Genomic DNA, 20,913 nt, shown 5'->3' with positions numbered 1-20,913 from the left:
CCTGGTCATCGCATTCCCAGCCCTGTTTACATTCTAGGGTGCTGCGGGTACGTGATGGTCTAAGGAAGATCAAATCCACTTTCCACTTCTCAGGGCCCTGCCGACAAGTGCAACGGTTTGTTCCTTCTCAGGGGAGGAGGGGACCCCTGTCCCCCTTCTCAGGGGCAGTTCCATCCATTCTCACCTCTTGGGTCTTCAGTGTGCACCTCCCACAGCTCACAGACATCCCTGTCTCCCCTAAACCCCTTTGCCGTGACGCCCACCGCCCATCCACCTTCCCCCGCGGGCTTCCTTCTCAGAGTGGTCAGTACGTAGTCTAGTGTCCACATCTTCCTCCCTGCAGTCACTTTGAAGGTGGCCCAAGCTTCAGGGCCCCCCTCCTTCTCCAAACACGGCTGGGCCTCTGGGCTTTTTGGAGTTAGAAAAGGGGAGGGGGGCTGTGGGGAGCGAGAGGTGCAGGAGTGAAGTGTGGGGACCCTTCCTGGGACCCCTCACCCTCACACACACACCACCCCACTTGCCTAAGACAGGCACAACTGGAGCCATCTTGAGACCCAGAATTCCTCTCCAGGTTATGGTGTTTCTCACGGTCCTTGCCCACCAGGAGATAGAAAGTTCTGGAAAGATGCTGTTGGAAAGGTGAAGCTAGAAGCACGGCCTCTTTGCACAGGCTATGCTTTAAGTACTCATAACTGGCTCACATCTACTGAGCCATCACTGTGTACCAAGCACTGTTCTAACGTTTTATTTTTATTTTATTTTTTATTTTTGAGACAGAGTCTTCCTCTGTTGCCCAGGCTGGAGTGCAGTGGCATGATCTCAGCTCACTGCAACCTCTGCCTCCGCCCCCTCTCAAGTGATTCTCCTGCATCAGCTTCCTGAGTAGCTGGGATTACAGGTGCCAGCCACCACACCCAGCTAATTTTTGTATTTTCAGTAGAGATGGGGTTTCACCATGTTGGCCAGGCTGGTCTCGAACTCCTGACCTCAGGTGATCCACCTGCCTTGGCCTCCCAAAGTGGTAGGATTACAGGTGAAATGTTTTAAATGTGTTGTTTTGAAGAGACAGGACCTCCCTCTGTTGCCCAGGCTGGAGTGCAGTGGCGCAATTATGGCTCACTGCAGCTTGAAACTCCTGGGCTCAAGTGATCCTCTCTCCTCAGCCTCCCAAGTAGCTGGGACTACAGGCTTGTGTAGCCACGCCTGGCTAACTTTATAATTTTTTATAGAGTGGGATCTCACTATGTTGCCCAGGCTGATCTCAACTCCTGGCCTCAAGTGATCCTTCTGCCTCCACCTCCCAAAGTGCTGGGATTACCAGTTTAAGCCACCACGCCCAGCCACCAACTCACTTTCACTTGGCTAAATCGCGCCCTGTTTGGAAGACGGAGCCTGAAATTGGCAGGAGAGCTGGATGTGGCCATGGTCCTTCACTGCCCAGGGCGTGCTTGTCCCATCCAGCCTGTACTCCTGTGGCTGTGTGGATGACCAAGGGCTCACCTGGTCTTGCTTTTCTTCACCTCACTCTTCCCAAGAGGCTGGTTCTGACACTAACAGTCACCCATTGGTAAACAGCCCAGCACCAAAAGCCCCTAAGAACCTTCAGATAAGAGACATCCCTTGGGGGAAGGAAGAAAAAAAAAACACAACCTAACAGGAAGCCAAGTGGGTAAACGGTTACTTGCATGATTCTAAAGCCTGCATGTTTCTTCCCCAGGCGAGAGAGACTGAGCCTTTCACTCTCAGAGCCAGCTTGGCCAGAGTCTCAGAAGCAAGGTCTCTGTGCACCTTGGGGCTGTTGGCAGGGCTGAGGAGAGGAGTAACCAAATCATGGGTCTGGGAGAGAAATTTCCTCCGATGCTTTTCTGGCTCCTACCTAGAGAGTTCTCTCACTTCTGAGAGGTATCCTGTGAGGGCACAGTGGACAGGAGCAGAGACCTGGGGTCAGGCAGGCCCAGCACAGAGATGCCTAATGCCCTTGGGAAGTCACTTGACCTTCCCGAATCCACCTTTTTTTTTTTTTTTTTTTTGAGTTGGAGTCTCACTCTGACACCCAGGCTGGAGTGCAGTGGTGCAATCTTGGCTCACTGCAGCCTCCGTCTCCTGGGTTCAAGCAATTCTCCTGCCTCAGCCTCCCAAGTACCTGGGATTATAGGCATGTGCCATCATGCCCGGCTAATTTTTGTATTTTTAATGGAGATGGGGTTTTGCCACGTTGGCCGGGCTGGTCTCGAACTCTTGAGCTCAGGTGATCTGCCCACCTTGGCCTCCCAAACTGCTGGGGTTACAGGCATGAGCCACTGCACTGGGCCCCGAGTCTTCCTTTTAAACCATGAAACGGGGATTGCCCAGGTGTGATGGCTCACATTTATAATCTCAGCTCTTTGGGAGGCCAAGGCAGGAGGATCGCTTGAGGCTAGGAGTTCCAGACCAGTCTGGGCAACATAGCGAGACCTCGTCTCTACAAAAAATAACAATTAAAAAATTAGCCAAGTGTGGTGGCGTGTGCCTACAGTTCCAGCTACTTGGGATGCTGAGGCTGGAGGATGGCTTGAGCCCAGGAGTTGGAGGCTGCAGTGAGCTATGATCACACCACTGCATTCCAGTCTGGGCAACAGAGCAAGACCCTGTCTCTAAAAACCAAACACAAAAAGCCAAAAAACAAAGCTAAAACAACCCCTAGAGGTGTGATCAAAGGGCTGGGGAGGAGGGAGAGAGGAGGAGCTTCCCCAGGGGAGACTTCATCACCAAACTCTGTACCTGCAGGCACCTTGTCCTGCCCTGGAGGTGGGGGTTGGTGAACCGGAAACCCATGACTCACTCCCTCCCTGCCCAGCCAGGCCTGGACAGCTGTGCAAACAGACTGAGGAAGGGGCTTCCAGGCCACACTCTGTGCCTCTCCTCCTCCTCCTCCTCCTCCTCTTCCTCCTCCCTGGAGTCAGCCCAGGCTGGCTCCATCCCTCTGGGCCCCTTCTCTCCCTGAAAATTGCAGGAATGTGCACCACTGTGTTAGAACCAAGTCCTTGGAAGACTCCAGATTTCCCCTAGACTTGGGAGTACTGGGACTTAGGAAGAAGGGGTTGGGGCTGTCCAGGTCTCCCTGGCCCGAGGGTCTCACCCTTAGGTCCTCCGAAGCTCTGTTTCCAAGGATAGCAGACCCGCCCTCACAATAGCACCCACTCACTGAGTCCCTTCTGTCACGGTGCATACCCTGCTGTCCCTGGGACCTGTACTTGGATGTCTCAAGGGCATGTTCAACTCCCCGTGTCCCAAACTCAACTCAGGCTCTCTCCTCTCAGGATATGTCCCCGCCCTCCACCCAGGGCTCAGGCCAGAAGCCTTGGAGTCCTTCTTGACATCACCCTCTCCCTCACCTTCCCCACCCAATCTGACATCAAACTGTGTAGACTCCAGCTCCGAAAAATACCCCAATCCAACTATTCCTGGCCATCTCTGCTGCCCTACCCGTGGGGGCCTCTGCCCTCGCTCCACCTCCCATTCACTCATCCTCCACCCTGCAGCCAGAGTAACCTTTTTTCTTTTTTCTTTTTTTGAGATGGAGTCTCACTCTGTCGCCCAGGCTGGAGTGCAGTGGCACGATCTCGCCTCACTGCAACATCTGCCTGCCCGGTTCAAGCAATTCTCCTGCCTCAGCCACCCAAGTAGCTGGGATTACAGGTGTGCACCACCGTGCATGGCTAATTTTTGTATTTTTAGTAGAGATGGGGTTTCACCATGTTGGCCAGGCTAGTCTTGAACTGCTGACCTCAAGTGATCCTCCTGCCTTGACCTCCCAAAGTGCTGGGATTACAGGCATGCACCACCATGCGTGGCTAATTTTTGTATTTTTAGTAGAGACGGGGTTTCACTTTGTTGGCCAGGCTAGTCTCGAACTCCTGACCTCAAGTGATCCTCCTGCCTTGACCTCCCAAAGTGCTGGGATTACAGGCATGCACCACCACGCATGGCTAATTTTTGTATTTTTAGTAGAGATGGGGTTTCACCATGTTGGCCAGGCTGGTCTTGAACTCCTGACCTCAAGTGATCCTCCTGCCTTGACCTCCCAAAGTGGTAGGATTACAGGCGTGAGCCACTGCGCCTGGCAACCAGAGTAATTTTTTTTTTTTTTTTTTTTTTAGACAGAGTCTCGCTCTGTTGCCCAGGCTGGAGTGCAGTGGCACAATCTCGGCTCACTGCAAGCTCCACCTCCCGGGTTCACGCCATTCTCCTGCCTCAGCCTCTCAAGTAGCTGGGACTACAGGCGTCTGCCACCACACCCGGCTAATTTTTGTATTTTTAGTACAGACGCGGTTTCACCTGGTTAGCCAGGATGGTGTTAATCTCCTGACCTCGTGATCTGCCAGTCTCGGCCTCCCAAAGTGCTGGGATTACAGACGTGAGCCACCGCACCTGGCCCAGAGTAATTTTATTAAAATGTCAATCAGATCACATTTCTCCCTGCTTACAACTTTTTGATAGTTTCTCATTGGATTTAAGACAAAATCCAAATTCCATATATCACAGCCTGCAAGTCCTTCCATGCTGTATCTCCTTGCATAGTTTAATAGTCCCCTGCACTGGACTGTAAGCTCACAGAGGGCAGGAATAGCCCATTTTTATGCACTGGGGCTCCTGTAGGGTGTGAGAGAATCCCAACCCCTTGCCTTTGATCTGAGCTGGACACACTGCAAAGACATGCTCCAAAACTTTTCCCATGTGACACTCATGTGACCCACCTCAAGGGGTGCCACCACCATTTCACCTGTTACGCAGATGGCGAAGCCAAGTTTCCAAGACGGCAGGAGACTTGTAAAAGGGCACACGGATAATAACTGCAGTAGACAGGCTGTACTGGCGTTCACTGTGTGCTATGACCGGTTCTAATCACTCTGTGTGTAGTTTTACATTGAATGCTACATACTAACCCTGAAAAGTAGACAGTCTTCCTTCCTCCCTCCCCTCCTCCCTCTTTCCCTTCCTTCCTCCCTCCCTTCCCTCCTTCTTCCCTCCCTCCCTCCCTCCCTTCCCTCCTTCTTCCCTCCCTCCCTCCCTTCTCTCTCTCTCTCTTTCTTTCTTTTTTTTTTTTTTGGAGACGTTGTCTCGCCCTGTTGCCCAGGCTGGAGTGCAGTGGCACAGTCTCGGCTGACCTCCGCCTCCTGAGTTCAAGTGATTCTCCTGTCTCAGCCTCCTGAGTAGCTGGGATTACAGGCATGTGCCACCACACCCAACTAATTTTTGTATTTTTGTAGAGACAGGGTTTCTCCATGTTGGCCAGGCTGGTCTCAAACTTCTGACCTCAGATGATCTGCCCGCCTCAGCCTCCCAAGGTGCTGGGATTACAGTGTGAGCACCATGCCCAGCCAAACCTCTTTCAATTCTATCATGCATAGCTCTGAGATTCTCATCTGAACATGGCTTCCTTCTCTACATGGATTTGTGCTGAGACATGTGCTAGAAAATGCCATTTCAGTCTTGATGAAATCTCTCGAAACACATTTGAAATCCATTTTCCTTTCTCTCACTTTAATTCCGGGAGGAGTTAAGTCCCAATTGAATTTTCTTTTCTTTTTTTTTCTTTTGTGTGTGTGTGTGTGTGTGTGTGATGAAGTTTCAATCTTGTTGCCCAGGCTGGAGTGCAGTGGTGCGATCTTGGCTCACTGCAACCTCCACCTCCCGGGTTCAAGTGATTCTCCTGCCTCAGCCTCCAAAGTAGCTGGGATTATATGTGCCCACCACCACGCCTGGCTAAATTTTTGTATTTTTATTAGAGACAGGGTTTCATCATGTTGGCCAGGCTGGTCTCGAACTCCGGACCTCAGGTGATCCACCTGCCTTGGCCTCCCAAAGTGCTGGGACTACAGGTGTGAGCCACTGTGTCTGGCCCCAGTTGAATTTTCCTTTGATGTGGGGGCAGCTGTGGCCTGGCCTTTGTGGGGAATGGGTGTGGGCAGGTACAGGTTCCACTTAGTGTTTCATGATGGGAGAAATCTTGGCTGGCTAGAGTAGCTCACGCCTGTAATCCCAGGACTTTGGGAAGCTGAGGCTGGTAGATCACCCGTGGTCAGGAGTTTGAGGCCAGCCTGACCAACAAGGTGAAACTCCGTCTCTATTAAAAATACAAAAATTAGCCAGATGTGGTGGTGGGCGATTGTAATCTCAGCTACTTGGGAGGCTGAGGCAGGAGAATCACTTGAACCTGGGAGGCGGAGGTTGCAGTGAGCCGAGATCATACCACTAGACTCTAGCCTGAGCAACAGCCAGACTCCACCTCAGAAAAAAAAAAAAAAAAAAAGAAAGAAAAGAAATCTCTTAAGGTCTCAGTTTCTCAGCCAGAAGGTGGAGGCCATAGTACTTACCCCTTCTTCTTGCCTTCCTTTCCAGAGCTGATATGCTGGGCAAACGAAATAAACCCACGTGTAGTGGACATCTGGGACTCTGTCTGCCCTGGGCCATTTCCTTGTTTCTTGAATCAGACTCAGTTCTGGTCATCGTGATTGGGCCAATGGGGTGGTCACATGACACCACCTGGGCCTATCACAGCCCTTCCCTGGGACTTCACACTCTAGAGCAGGAGAACAAAATCCCTTTTCTTTTTTTTCTTTTACAGGGTCTTGCTGTGTTGCCCAGGCTGGTGGGCAGTGGTATGATTGTAACTCACAGCAGCCTTGAATTCCTGGGCTCAAATGATCTTTCTGCTTCAGCCTCCTGAAGAGCTGGGACTACAGGCGTGCACCACCATGCCTGGCTAATTTTTAATTTTAATTTTTTTTTATTTTTTTTTTGAGACAGAGTCTCACTATGTCGCCCAGGCTGGAGTGCAGTGGCATGATCTCAGCTCACTGCAACCTCCACCTCCTGGGTTCAAACGATTCTCCTGCCTCAGCCTCCAGAGTAGCTGAGACTACAGGTGCGTGCCACCATGCCTGGCTAATTTTTTATATTTTTAGTAGAGACGGGGTTTCACTGTGTTAGCCAGGATGGTCTTGATCTCCTGACCTTGTGATCTGCCCGCCTCAGCCTCCCAAAGTGCTGGGATTACAGGTGTGAGCCACTGTGACCGGCTGCTAATTTTTGTTTTTTAGAGACAGAATATCCCTCTGTCACCCAGGCTGGATGACAGTGGCATGATGTTCATAGCTCACACTGCAGCCTCGACCTCCTGGGCTCAAGCAGTCCTCCCACCTCAGCCTCCTGAGTAGCTGGGACTGCAGGCCCGCACCACTGGGAATGCAGTGCATGGCTAATTTTAAAATTTTTTGTAGATTTGGGGTCTTGCTTTGTTGCCTATGCTGGTCTGGAACTCCAGGCCTCAAGCGATCCTCCCGTCTCGGCCTCCCAAAGTGCTGGCATTACAGGTGTGAGCCACCGCGCCTGAAGGAATTGTACAATTCATTGTTACTGTGGCCCCATCAGAATAAAATCCCAGTTCCAAAACCTTCCTTGTTTCACATTTCTTCTTCCTCTCTTCCCTCCTTTCTTCTTTCTTTCTATAGCTGGGGTCTGAGCTAGCATTTTAGCCTGCAAAAATTAGGCCAGGCTCAAGCCTTGCCTTTACAGAGCTTGGATTCTGGTTGAGCCAGCCGGCTACAATTCACGTGCCCACATGAGACGTCAGGTTGTACATATATCCTTCAGGTACAGACACAACATGCTGGGGCCCAGAGAGGGAACATAGATTCAGAGTAAGCTCTGGACAGATCTCTTCTGTTCTGTGGGCCTCAATTCCTGCCTGGTGAGAAGAGGTGGCACAAGGCCTGGCCAGCTGGGAATAGGATTCAGGGTATGGGGGTTGCGGTCTCAGGAGGAGGCTTGGTAGAGTGGGAGGTAAACCCTCTCAGAGATCCCTGAGCTGGCCTGTCTGTTCAGACGCTCTGAAAACCTCTCATGACCTGGGACCCAGCTCTGGCTGTAAGGGAGTCATTTTGGAGGCTGTCCAAAGATTCTAAGTCTGCAGGGAGAACTCAAAAAGCGTGGGGAGGGCTGGGCGAGGTGGCTCACACCTGTAATCCCAGCACTTTGGGAGGCCGAGGCGGGCCTGATCACTGCAGTGAACTCCTGATCACTGCAGGTCAGGAGTTCAAGACCAGCCTGGCCAACATGGGTGAAACTCCGTCTCTACTAAAAATACTAAAATTAGCCAGATGTGGTGGCACGCGCCTGCAATCCTAGCTACTTGGGAGGCTGAGGCAGGAGAATCGCTTGAACTCGGGAGGCGGAGGTTGCAGTGAGCCGACATTGCACCACTGCACTCCAGCCTGGATGACAGAGTGAGACTCCGTCTTGGAAAAAAAAAAAATAGTGCTCAGGGAGCTGGCGCTACAGGAGAGGGCAGGTGGCCAGAGGGCTCCCTTCTCTGCCCCTCTGAGGCTCTGTGTGGATCCAGCTCAGGCTGTTTTGGTCATTCCAGCTCTGGTCACCGCCTCTGATTTATTAGCTGTGGGTTTGTCGGATGGTGAAGCGAAGGTTCCCAGCAAGGCCGGGAGGTTTGCAGGAATTTATTTCACACTTGACTATTTTTTCTAACACCTACTAATGTCCTTCATGTTGGACCCAAAGTTCCCGGCCTCTCCCTTCTTCCAAAATGTTTCAGGGACTGGAGAGGGGAGAGCGCCTGGAAGTCTTCCAGTAGTGGCCAGCCACCAGCCTGCAGGCAGATGGGTGAGAAGGGGGATGGGAGTGGCGGGGGGCGGGGGGTGAGGGTGGGGATAGTGGGAGGGTGGCAGGAGGCTGTGCTGAGAGCCAGGGCAGGGAGGTCAGGTTTCAGGTTTCAGTTTCCCTTGAAAACAGCCCTGCGCCGGCCCGGCCGGCAGAGAGCCTGGCTTCCCTATGCAATCATTACGTTTCTCAGAGACTCAGTGCCACCACCGGTAAAATGGGCATGCCGAAGGGCTGTGGTCAGGACAAAATGAATCAGGAGGTGTGTGTTAATGCCTGGGGCAGCGGCGGGCCCCTCACAAGGGCTGGATGTGAGCGGCCGAATCTGTCTTTAATCCCCCTGCGGAAGCTGGAACGGGAAGCTGTGTTCCGGGCCAAGCTTTCTCTGCCCACTTGGCCGGCATCTCCTTTCTCTGGTGTTTCTGTTGAAATTTTACTGTTCAGAAGCATTTCCACTGCCTGGCTAGTTATTCAGCAGGACCCTGTTTGATCCATTCCCCAGTCCTGTCTCTTCTTCCTGCTGTCATGGAGCTCACTCTGTTGTTAGGGGGCAGGGGTACAGGGAATATGAGGGTTCCCAGAGAGGCAAAATGAAAAAACCCCTGCTGGCATGTGACCAGCACCCATTGGCTGTAACTTTGCTCCAGTTCACATCTTTTTTTTTTTTTTTTTTTTTTAAAGATGAGTCTTGCTCTGTTGCCCAGGCTGGAGTGCAGTGGCACGATCTTGGCTCACTGCAACCTCTACCTTCTGGGTTCAGGCGATTCTCCTGTCTCAGCCTCCTGAATAGCTGGAATTACAGGCGTGTACCACCATGCCCAGCTAATTTTTGTATTTTTAGTAGAAATGGGGTTTCACCACATTGGCCAGGCTGGTCTCGAACTCCTGGCCTCAAGTGATCTGCCCACCTCAGCCTCCAAAAGTGCTGGGATTACAGGCGTGAGCCACTGCGCCCAGCCTGCTCCAGTTTACCTCTTAAAAAAAATAAAATGCACAGAACTGGACCTCCTTGAGAGAGTGGGGAATAGGTGTAGGTTTGGGGCAAGGAGAAGGACAAGCATAGGGAACAGCCAGGGAAGGATGCTCAGAGGCTCTTCCTATTTTGCTCTTGTTCCCTGTAATCAGCATCTGCCATGGCCCCTCAGCAGCCCAGCCCAGCTTCACAGCAGGGACTCTAAGGAAGGGTCCTAGGCCAAAAGCTGTGGCTCAGGCCTGTAATACTAGTACTTTAGAAGGCCTAGGTGGGAGGATGGCTTGAGGCCAAGAGTTCAAGACCAGCCTGGGCAACATAGCGAGACTACCCACCCCATCTCTACAGAAAGATTTAAACATTAGCCAGGCATGGTGGCATGCACCTGTAGTCTCAGCTACTTAGGAGGTTGAGACAGGAGGATCGCTTGAACCCAGGAATTGGAGGCTGCGATGAGCTAGGATTGCGCCACTGCAGTCCAGCTTGGGGAACAGAGTAAGATCCTCTCCAAAGAAAAAAATAAAGGAATGGTCCTAGAGTTCTGCTGCCTTTGAGAACATCCACACTAGTCACAGAGGAAGCTGACAGAAGGGTGTGTGGTGGGTGTCTTACTTCTTTTATTTATTTGTTTGTTTGCTTGTTTATTTATTTTGGGACAGAGTCTCACTCTGTCACCCAAGCTGGAGTGCAGTGATGCGATCTCGGCTTACTGCAACCTCCGCCTCCCGGGTTCAAGCGATTCTCCTGCCTCAGCCTCCTGAGTAGCTGGGATTACAGGCAACCACCAGCATGCCGGGCTAATTTTTGCATTTTTAGTAGAGACGGGGATTCACCATGTTGGCCAGGCTGGTTTCGAACTCCTGACCTCAGGTGATCTGCCCACCTCGGCCTCCCAAAAGTGCTGGGATTACAAGTGTGAGCCACCACACCTGGCCATGGATACCTTACTTCTTTCCAAGGCCCAAATCAAAAACCTGTCATGTGGATACTCCTTGAAATCCTGCCCTGTGACCACATGACTGAGGGCCTGCTGCCCCCCTCATCACCCTGGTGGGGTGACATAAAATCCATGCTGGTGCCTGCCTCATTCTGTATCAGGTGACCCTATGGGGTGGCCATGAGGTCACATCCTCTGTTCCTATACCTGCCCAGTGGAGGGACGGATGGTGGACGTCTTCCTTTGGAGCTGGGGCTGGCAGTGGTGCAAGTGGTCCCTCCCAGGTGCAGGTAATGAGGGAATGCCTTGTCTGTAGCCAATTTAATAACAATAATAAAATTACTCAAAGCCGTCTGCTTTTTATTATCACCTTGTCCTGGCAATTCCGAATGACGCTGGTGAAAAGAAAAACTCCTTCTCTTGCAAATGCCCCTGTGAAGAGGCTGAAGGGCAGTGGGTCGTTGGTTCTCTGGCATGCGATCAGTTTCTGAATCACCTGGCCCTGCAGAGAGGGAGACGGAAATGAACTTGGAGAGGGTCGGGGCACAAAGTGGCTGAAATGTCAATCCAGGAGGGAAGACGCCTCTCCCCCTAGAACCCTCTAAGAGTTTCCCACTGTGATGTAAGAGGAGGCAGGGACCATGTCCCTGTAGGACCTGTAGGTGATGTCGCCTGTGAGTGATGGTAAGGAGCTTAGGTTTTATTATAATCACAATGGGAAGCTCTTGGTGGGTTATAGGTAGAGGAGGACTGGGATCAATTTATGCTTGGGAAAAATGGGAGAGTTCGAGAAGCTGAAAACAGGAATGGGCTTAAGTGCAACTCCAGGACAATGCTTTTTCATTCAGCTTACACCAACCTTGAATTTTCCACTCTTTTCTTTTCCCTCCCTCCCTCCCTCCCTCCCTCCCTTCCTTCCTTCCTTCCTTTCTCTCTTTCTCTCTCTGTCTCTCTTTCTTTCCCTCTTTTCTTTCTTTTCTTTCAGAGACAGGGTCTCACTCTGTTGGCCAGCCTGGAGTGCAGTGGTGCAGTCATAGCTCACTGCAGCCTGGAACTCCTGGGCTCAGGTGATCCTCCTGCCTCAGTCTCCCAAGTAGCTAGGATGACAGGTGCACGCCAGCATGAGTGGCTAATTTTTAAATTTTTTGTAGAGATGGAGTCTCACTATGTTGCCCAGGCTGGTATCAAACTCCTGGCCTCAAGTGATCATCTCAGCCTCCCAAAGTGCTGGGATTATAGGCGTGAGCCATCATGCCCGGCCTACGTGGGCTTTTTGCATATCCACTGGGTGCTGGGCTCCATGGCAGCTACAGGGGGTGTCATCATGCACGGCCTGGAGGGAGGGACAGACATTAATTCAGCAATCACAGCAACGTGGACACACTGGCCAGCACCAGGGAAGAGACAGGAGAGAGTCCAGGGTCAACAGGGCTCAGTGGCCTTGGCAGGGATGGCCATTCCTTGAAAGATGGGTTTCTGTAGGAATAAGTGACCTAATTAGCTGGATGCAAAGATAACAGGCTGAAGACGTTACCCAGAGGCTCACAGGTAAGAGGGGACAGGAGGACTATAAAGAGCTAAAATAGGCCAGGCATGGTGGCTCATGCCTGTAATCCCAGCACTTTGAGAGGCCAAGGCGGGTGGATCACGAGGTCAGGAGTTTGAGACCAGCCTGGCCAATGTGGTGAAACTCCGTCTCTACTAAAAATACAAAAATTAGCCGGGCATGGTGGCGTGCACCTGTAATCCTAGCTACTCAGGAGGCTGAGGCAGGAGAATCACTTGAACCCGGGAGGCGGAGGTTGCAGTGAGCTGAGATCACACCACGGCACTCCAGCCTGGGCAACAGAGCAAGACTCCATCTCAAACAAACAAAAAACCAAAGAGCTAAAATAAGACCCATGTATCTGGAGTGAAGGGGCCATGGGGAGGATGAGCTGTGGGGGCTCCCAGTAGGGGTAGGACTCCCAGGGGTCAAACCAAGTTGGGCCCAAGAGCTCAGTATTTATCCCCAGAAGGCACTGAAGGGTTTTAAGCTGAAAGACTTGGCCCTGATTGAAGTTTTGTGTTTTACAACATAACGTAAATGCCGAGGCCAAAGCCAGGCTGGGTGCGGCGGCTCACACCTATAATCCCAAGGCTTTGGGAGGCCAAGGTGGGAGAATCGCTGGAGGCCAGGAGTTCGAGACCAGCCTGGACAACATAGACCCCCTACATTTACAAAACATTTAAAACATTAGCTGGGCATGGTGGCACATGCCTGTCATCCCAGGTACCCTGGAGGCTGAGGTGGGAGGATCACTTGAGCCAGGAGTTGAAAGCTGCATTGAGCCATGATGGCGCCACTGCACCCCAGCCTGGGTAACACAGTGAGAGAGACGCTGTCTCTAAAATAAACAAAACAAATCCCAAAGCCAGAGCACTGGGAGTCACAGAGCTGACTGGGGGTGAGGTGGGGGGTGTCAGACTCTCAGGCTCCAAGTGGAAGAGCTGAGAGGGCTGAGAGGCCTGTGGGAAGGTGTGGCCCAGGGCTGTGTTTGGTTAGTCCAGCAGGATCCTTGGGCACCACCCCCAGTGTGCACCAGGGTGTGGCCCAGCCCTCCGGCATGAAGGCGCCACGCACTGTGAGCTATTCCTTCTACATGCACGGCGACCGCAGCCTTTGGTCTTGATAAGTAGATTATGTTGATTCACGGCCTTGGACTTCAAATTACAAAACCACGGTCTGGCTTGGGATAGTTCACCAGAGAGCGGAGAGATAGCTGGTCACAAGGCAGCCATGCGTCATCCCTGCCTCGATCTCAGGGAACTCTGTCCAGTGGGCTCTGCGTTTGCCTAGCATGAGAGAGGGCCATTTTTCTGCTTGGCCCCAGCCGCATTTAAGAAGCAGCTGAGAGCAGTGGCTAACGTCTGTAATCCCAGCACTTTGGGAGGCCAAGGCAGGCAGATCACTTGAGGTCAGGAGTTGAAGACCAGCATGACCAACATGGTAAAACCCCATCTCTATAAAAATACAAAAATTAGCCGGGCATGATGGCAGGTGCCTGTAATCCCAACTACTCAGGAAGCTGAGGCAGGAGAATCACTTGAACCCGGGAGGTGGAGATTGCAGTGAGATGAGATTGCGCCACTGCACTCCAGCCTGGGTGACAGAGGGAGACCCCGTGTCAAAGGAAAAAAAAAAAAGAAGCAACTGTAAGCAGGAACTCAGGCAGGCTGGGTGGGGACGGCAAGGCCTCCTATTGCCAAGGAGCTTGAGGAAGATTGTCGCTGGGGTTTTTTGTTTTCTCCTGTTTAAGTAATAGCTTTATTGAGATATAATTCACATACCATGCAATTCATCCATTAAAAATATACAATTCAATGGCTTCTAATGTATCCATTAGTGCAATTTCTACAATCAATTTTATTTTTATTATAATTTTAATTTTTTTTTTAATTTTTTTTTTGAGACAGGGTCTCGCTCTGTCACCCAGGCTGGAGTGCACTGGTGGCATCTCGGCTCACTGCAACCTCCTCCTCCCGAGTTCAAGCGATTCTCCTGCCTCAGCCTCCCGAGTAGCTGGGATTACAGGCACCTGCCATCACGCCCGGCTAATTTTTGTATTTTTAGTAGAGATAGGGTTTCGCTATGTTGCCCAGGCTTGTCTTGAACTCCTGACCTCAAGCGATCTGCCCACCTCAGCCTCCCAAAGTGCTGGGATTACAGGAGACAGAAGCTTCTTTCTCTGAGTTCCAGGATCCAGTGCAGGTGAGGAGCCCCACACGCCTGAACAGTAATTACAGCACAATGCAATCAACGTGTAATTAACTGTGTTACACGGCATGTTGCCCACTCTCACTGCTTTGCAAGTCCCGGGAGCGGGGAGATTGAGGGAACAGAGAAACCTACTGACTAATGCTAATCCCACCCAGGGTGCAGAGCCTGGAGCCTACAATTATCTTACCTCCAGCTGCTCCCTGAATCCTGTGGCAGGATGGTGGAGTATAGGGTCTACACCGTAGCTCTGAGCACGTGGGCTTTAAAGCCTCCTCCTAAATGCAGAATTCTGGACAGATGCGCGATTATGATGCTTGTCAGAGCGACAGGACTTACAATGGGATTTTTGGTGGGTCACAAGTGTTTCACATAAAAGGCCTTTCGAATCCCAGTGCTTTGGGAGGCAGAGGCAGAAGGATCGTTTGAAGCCAGGAGTTCGAGACCAGCCTGGGCAACATAGTGAAACCCCATCTCCACAACAACAACAACAAAATAGCTGGCCAGACCCTGTCTCAAAAAATAAAAAATAAAAAAGCCTTTCATAGGTGTGGCCCAAGGACCCACAAATTGCTCACTTTCAGTTTGAAACCATCACGTCCGCTGACACGTGTAGGATAGAAATCCAGCTAATGCTCCCCCTTGTTTCTGCCTCAGTGTCAGAGGCACCCAGGGCCTCTGAGCTGCGACTACAGTCCCATCCCCTAACTTGCTTTTTCCCTTTCCTCCTCCCAGGGCCAGAGGCTGATTGAACTTGCACCTCAGCCCCTGTCATTCACCTTCCATGAGTTTCCAGTCTGATGGAGGAGGCAGACACTAAACCGGATTATTTTTTTTAATTTAATTTAATTTTTATTTTTTAGAGACAGGGCCTCATTGTGTCACCCAGGCTGGAGTGCAGTGGTGCAATCATAGCTCACTGCAGCCTCTAACTCCTGGTCTCAAGCAATCCTCCCACCTCAGCCTCCCGAGTAGCTGGGACCACTCGCTCGTGCCACCATGGCTGGCTAATTTTTTTTTTTTTTTAGAGGTGGGATCTTGCTATGCTGCCCAGGCTGGTCTCAAACTCCTGGTCTCAAGTGATCCTCCTGCCCTAGTCTCCCAAAGTGCTGGAATTACAGGCGTAAGCCACCATGCCTGGTCTGAACCCAATGATTACGGTGCAGTGTGAGTGCTACATCTTGGAGAGGTATTGCTGGCTGACCGTCCCAGCTGCCTTTTCTGCTCATGAAACCCCTCCAAGACTGGCTTTCCTGTGACCTCTCTGGCAAAGCTTTCTCTGGCTCCTCCAAGGAGAGGCTACTGCCCTCATTAGTCCCTGCCAGGGCTGGTTTGCCTTCTCTCATCCTGTTATCACCCCACCGGCTCTGCTCTGGTCCACGTAGGGCTCACTTCTCCTGGACTCTCTGAGGTCTGGGTCTCTGTCCATTCAGTTCAGGTCCTTGCAACATAAGAAGTGCCAGGAACTGTGCTGAGAAGATGACTCTGATCCCAGTGTCATGGGATTAAAAAAAAATCCATTATTTTAAGAACCAGTACCAAATTCTGCTTAGACGCAAATCCTCCTTGTTTAGGAAAATGGATCAGATGCTTTGGGATTGAAGACAGGACCATGGGGGCTGGACTGTTCTGCTTGGATGGTAGGCAGGATTTCAGGGGCGGGAGGAGGAAGGAGAAGGCGGAGGCCAGAGCAGAGATGACACAGAAACATCTAGGGAGAAGGATTTTTTTTTTTTTTTTTGAGGCAGAGTCTCGCTCTGTCGCCCAGGCTGGAGTGCAGTGGCGCAATCTCGGCTCACTGCAAGCTCCGCCTCCCGGGTTCACGCCATTCTCCTGCCTCAGCCTCCCGAGCAGCTGGGACTACAGGCGCTCGCCACCACGCCTGGCTAATTGTTTTTGTATTTTTAGTAGAGATGGGATTTCACCGTGTTAGCCAGGATGGTCTCGATCTCCTGACCTCGTGATCCGTCTGCCTCGGCCTCCCAAAGTGCTGGGATTACAGGCGTGAGCCATTGCACCCGGCCAGGGAGAAGGATTTTAATAGGTCCTGATAATTGCAAAGCAAATCCCTGTGCCTCTCCAAGCGACAGTAAACCTACCCACACAGATGCCTGTCGTGAGTGGTTTTGGGCATGGAAACTAAGGTAAAGGATTTTGACATCTGGTGGCTGTGCTGGAGGCTGAAGGCATCTCATGCAAGAAGCTGAGGCTGTCCCTGAACTGAAATTCAGTGGAAGCTGGGCTCTGGGTCCCGGGCAATTGTGACATATGACTAACGCTGTGTCCACAACAAGATGTCACAGACATCTTGGGAAGGGAGTCCAGAGTCTTCCACCATCCACGGTTTGGTGTGGGCTATGAGTCATTCTGGGCCAGCCCTGTAGGGCCAGGATAACCCCACTGATGCCAGCTTGCAGGACCAGGTGCGAGTCTTGGGCAGCTGTGGCCTGGAGGAGCAGAGACCCTATGCGATTGTCCTCTTCTGCTGACGATGGCAGCCAAGCTGGTGGGTTGGAGCTGCCAGATTCCCTCGGAGGGGCCCCTTGGGAACTTCCTTCTGCCTGCCCATGTTAGGGAAAGAAGAGAGACTCCAAAGCCGCTCAATCACTGCCTCATTCCTTGACGTGTGCTGGACAGGTGTCCCTGGCAAATAAATGGAGAGGTGCAAGTCTCCTAGATACAGACCATTAGTGGTTGGGAGCCAGGCGCGGTGGCTTATGCCTGCAATCCCAGCACTTTGGGAGGCTGAGGTGGGTGGATTGCTTGAACCCAGGAGTTTGAGACCAGCCTGGCTAACAAGGCAATACTCTACCTCTACAAAAAATATAAAAATTAGCCGGGCGTGGTGGCGCACACCTGTAGTCCCAGCTACTCGGAAGGCTGAGGTAGGAGGATCACCTGAGCCTAGGGAGGCTGAGGCTGCAGTGAGCTATGATAGTAACACTGCCCTCCAGCCTGGGCGACAGAGCGAGAACTTGCGTCTAAAAATCCACATCAATAGTGGGATAAGTGGAGCGTTAAAGCAAGTCCGCAGCTCCAGATTCCTGGGAAATACTTTTCCGCGGGGCTCATGAATAAACCCACAGTGGCGGGAGCAGCAGGCATTGGCCAGCCCTTCTCATGCCTTTTGCATAGGTGATCAATGGCCTGGGGGCTTCAGGTAGGAGTGTGTGCTGCCCACCAAGCCACGGGGCCACTCTGCAACTGCTCTTCTCCTTCCTGGCTCTCACCATGCCAAGACCTCAGGCTTCTCCCACAAGGGAGCACATCCATTCTGTCACTCATGTAGTCACTCAGCAAACACACTGAGCATCTACCGCGTCATGACTGTGCTTGGCACTGGGCGTTCAGAGTGGTCCGGATATGACCCTTGCTCTCTGGGAGCTGCCATTCAATAGGGAGATGGACGGACACGACCTGAAATGGACAGTTTCAATCTAGTGTGGACGTGTGTTGGCTGATGGGGCCCCAGTGCCTCTGGATGTTCCTGGGAGGCAACTGACTCAGAAAGCGTAGGGCTAGAAGCTTCCTGAAAGAGAAGATGAGATGTCAAGTCTTTTTTTTTTTGGTGGGGGACAGGGTCTCACTTTATTGTCCAGGCTGGAGTGCAGTGGCACAACCATGGCTCACTGCAGCCTCAACCTCCTGGGCTCAAATGACCCTCCTGCCTCAGCCTCCCAAGTAGCTGGGACCACCATGTCTGGCTATTTTTATTTATATTTTGTAGAGATGGGGTCTGACTATGTTGCCCAGGCTGGTCTCAAAGTCCTGAGCTCAAGTGATCCTCCTGTGGGGCACAGCTCTGGAGTCCCCTCCTCGGAGCCACCTGGATGTGCAGGACCATTGGGCCCTGAAAGCCACTCTTGCCCAGACCTCTGTCCTGGGCTGGGTTTGGTGTTGGGGCATCTCACAGGCCAGGGAGGATCTGGCCTGGTGGGCCTCCATTCCCTTCCATCCCCAGCGTGTGGCCCATCACAGGGCCGTCTTGGAGGAGGCAGGGCAGGCCTCTTGCTCATGCACAAATGCCTCTGACTCTTGTCAGCTGGGTTGAGCCAGGGCTTCCCAGAGCATTTTCATTGTCCTGAGGTGAGCACATCAGGGTCTGTAATTCCAGACACAGAAACCCACTCTGGCTGGGTTAGGCAGATAAGGAATTTATTCAAAGCTCCTATGTAACTCAGTATCTCCCCGAAAGCCAGAGTCCCAGGCTCTGAGGCTGTACAATCAGAAGCGAGGCCCCAAATCCCACCACATGCCAGGCTGGCCTTCCACTGGGCTCTGACGTGGGTCATGGTGCTGCCTTCAGAAACTGGATGTGGGAGCTGACCCTTTGCTAGCCAGAATGGATTCCACATGGCCTCTACTTCCTGGGTCATTGCTTCTCATTCTGAGTCTGATGGGTGCATGGATTGGTGGAGCCCAGGTCACATGATTAAACCTTAGCTGCAAGAGAGTCTGAAAAGGTGGATGTAATTCACAAGGTGGGGAATTCCCCAGACAGAGGAGGGGCATTTGGAGGTGTTCAGGGAGGCAAAAGGAATATGTCTGACCCCCAGCCAGGAGCTCTTCATCTGGAGGGAAGAGTAGGAAGTAGATCTATTATATAATTCTTTTTTTTTCCCTCAAGACAGAGTCTTGCTCTGTCCCCCAGGCTGGAGTACAGTGGTGCGATCTCGGTTTACTGCAAACTCCGCCTCTCAGGTTCAAGCAATTCTCCTGCCTCAGCCTCCCGAGTAGCTGAGATTACAGGAAACTGCCACCACACCCAGTTAATTTTTGTATTTTTAGTAGAGACAGGTTTTGCCTTTTTGGCCAGGCTGGTCTCAAACGCCTGACCTTGTGATTTGCCTACCTCGGCTTCCCAAAGTGCTGGGATTACAGGCGTGAACCACTGTGCCTGGCCAAGCCTTTCTCTCTCTCTTTTTTTTTTTTTGAGACCGTTTCTTGCTCCATCTCCTGGACTGGAGTGCAGTGGTGTGATCATAGCTCAGTGCAGCCTCTAACTACTGGGCTTAAGTGATCCTCCCACCTCAGCCTCCCAAGTAGCTGAGACTACAGGAGTGCACCACCACCATGCTGCACTCACTTTTTTTAATTTTTAGTAGAGATGGGATCTTCCTATGTTGCCCAGGCTGGTCTCACACTCCTGGCCTCAGGCAGTCCTCCCACCTTGGCCTCCCAATCTGCTGGGATTACAGGAATGAGCCACGGCTCCTGGCCTGGCCTCTTGATTTTTTTTTTGGAGGGATACTGTTACTTGTTTCCTCCTGCCCCTTGGGACATCGGGGCTCCCATCTAGGAAACTGAAGTTTCCTTCCAGGCAGGCCTCCATACTGTAAACTGGACTATTACCACTCACACTTGGTTTGCTGCCTCCTGTGACTGGAGTTAATGTTTGCCACACCTTTTTTGAGGCATGACAGTGACCCTGGACTCCTACTGGCTCCCGTCTCTATGAGACGTGTGTCTCTACTTCCATCACAGGGTGGCATCAGGGGAAGAAGCATGAGATCTGGGGTCAGACCCCCGGGTCCCGGGAAGGGAACTCTGCCCCTTGTCCCCAAGTTTTATAATTTTGCAGATGCTTCGTCATCTCCAGGACCCTCAATTGCTCATCTGTGCAATGGGGATAATAACCCTCCTTACCAGGCAGAGCTGTGGGAAGAGGAGGGTATGGTCCAAGAGCCCAGGGCACATGGTTGGGGCAGGCAGAGTGTGCCGTGCCCAAGTCAGCAGCTCGTGGGGACCCCATTCTCCTGCCTCTGGGCAGGGTTGCCCTGACCTGGTGTTGGACATGGTTTGTGCATTGGTCCTTTTCTCAGAGCCTTCGTGGGGGTGATGGCACTGTGTCCCTGGTCTCTGTCCCCTTCCACCTGCCAGAGCCCTGCGGTCCCCTCCCCAAGAGGGTGGAGATGGCTCCACGGCTCCTCCTAGCTCCCCAAGAGAGCAGCCGCCATCCCGCCTGTGAGCCGGAGGAGTGGAGGGAAATCGTGGAACCAAAATAGCTCTTTCCATAAACAAAGCTGCTTTTCGTTGGGGAAATGTAAACTGGCAGATGCGTGAGGAGACGGTACCATCCAGCGCAGCCGAGGGGGAGGCCACGGCGGGAGGCCCTTGGCCTGACCCACGGCATCCGGGCTGCCCCGCGCCAAGTGGGAGGCCGGGCCGGGAGGCTGCTCCAGAGCGAGGGGTCAGAGCCAGTCTGGATGCCCTCCTGGGCCCCATTCTCAGAAGCTAGGGGCCTCTCAGCATGCTGTATGCAGCCCTGCCTGGGTTCAGAGCTGGGGGGGTAGGAGTAGGGACTGTGGGCATCTCGTTCCTGGCACGTGGCCTGCCATGGGGCATGCAGGAGGGAATGTCATCCTTCCTGTCACCCCTGTCCCAGCCCTCAAACTCCTCACTCTTGGGTTTCCAGTGCATTCTCCTTGCTCTGTATTTGTATTTCTGTTTTTTCTCCTTGAGACGAAGGGAGTCTCACTCTGTTGCCCAGGCTGGAGTGCAGTGGCGTGATCTTCGGCTCACTGCAACCTCCACCGGCTAGGTTCAAGGAATTCTCCTGCCTCAGCCTCCCGAGTAGCTGGGATTACAGACGCC

At 52.3% G+C, this 20,913-nt stretch overlaps 3 annotated features.

The window, feature by feature from the left end:
• Positions 1,376-1,445: an enhancer, noted in NCBI's record as "active region_26409". NCBI's record gives its function as "activates an Ori minimal core promoter by ATAC-STARR-seq in GM12878 lymphoblastoid cells {active_cell/tissue: GM12878}" and the evidence as "EXISTENCE:reporter gene assay evidence [ECO:0000049][PMID:35858748]".
• Positions 1,566-1,645: an enhancer, noted in NCBI's record as "active region_26408". NCBI's record gives its function as "activates an Ori minimal core promoter by ATAC-STARR-seq in GM12878 lymphoblastoid cells {active_cell/tissue: GM12878}" and the evidence as "EXISTENCE:reporter gene assay evidence [ECO:0000049][PMID:35858748]".
• Positions 8,549-9,447: an enhancer, noted in NCBI's record as "H3K27ac-H3K4me1 hESC enhancer chr7:101376622-101377520 (GRCh37/hg19 assembly coordinates)". NCBI's record gives its function as "activates a minimal SCP1, AML or CMV promoter by ChIP-STARR-seq in primed H9 embryonic stem cells {active_cell/tissue: H9 hESC(primed)}" and the evidence as "EXISTENCE:reporter gene assay evidence [ECO:0000049][PMID:30033119]".

This window comes from Homo sapiens, chromosome 7, assembly GCF_000001405.40.
Source record: "Homo sapiens chromosome 7, GRCh38.p14 Primary Assembly".
NCBI classification, from domain to species: Eukaryota; Metazoa; Chordata; class Mammalia; order Primates; family Hominidae; genus Homo; species Homo sapiens.
The sequence above is the reverse complement of the archived record's forward strand: the minus strand, read 5'-3'. Positions and strand labels throughout refer to the sequence as shown.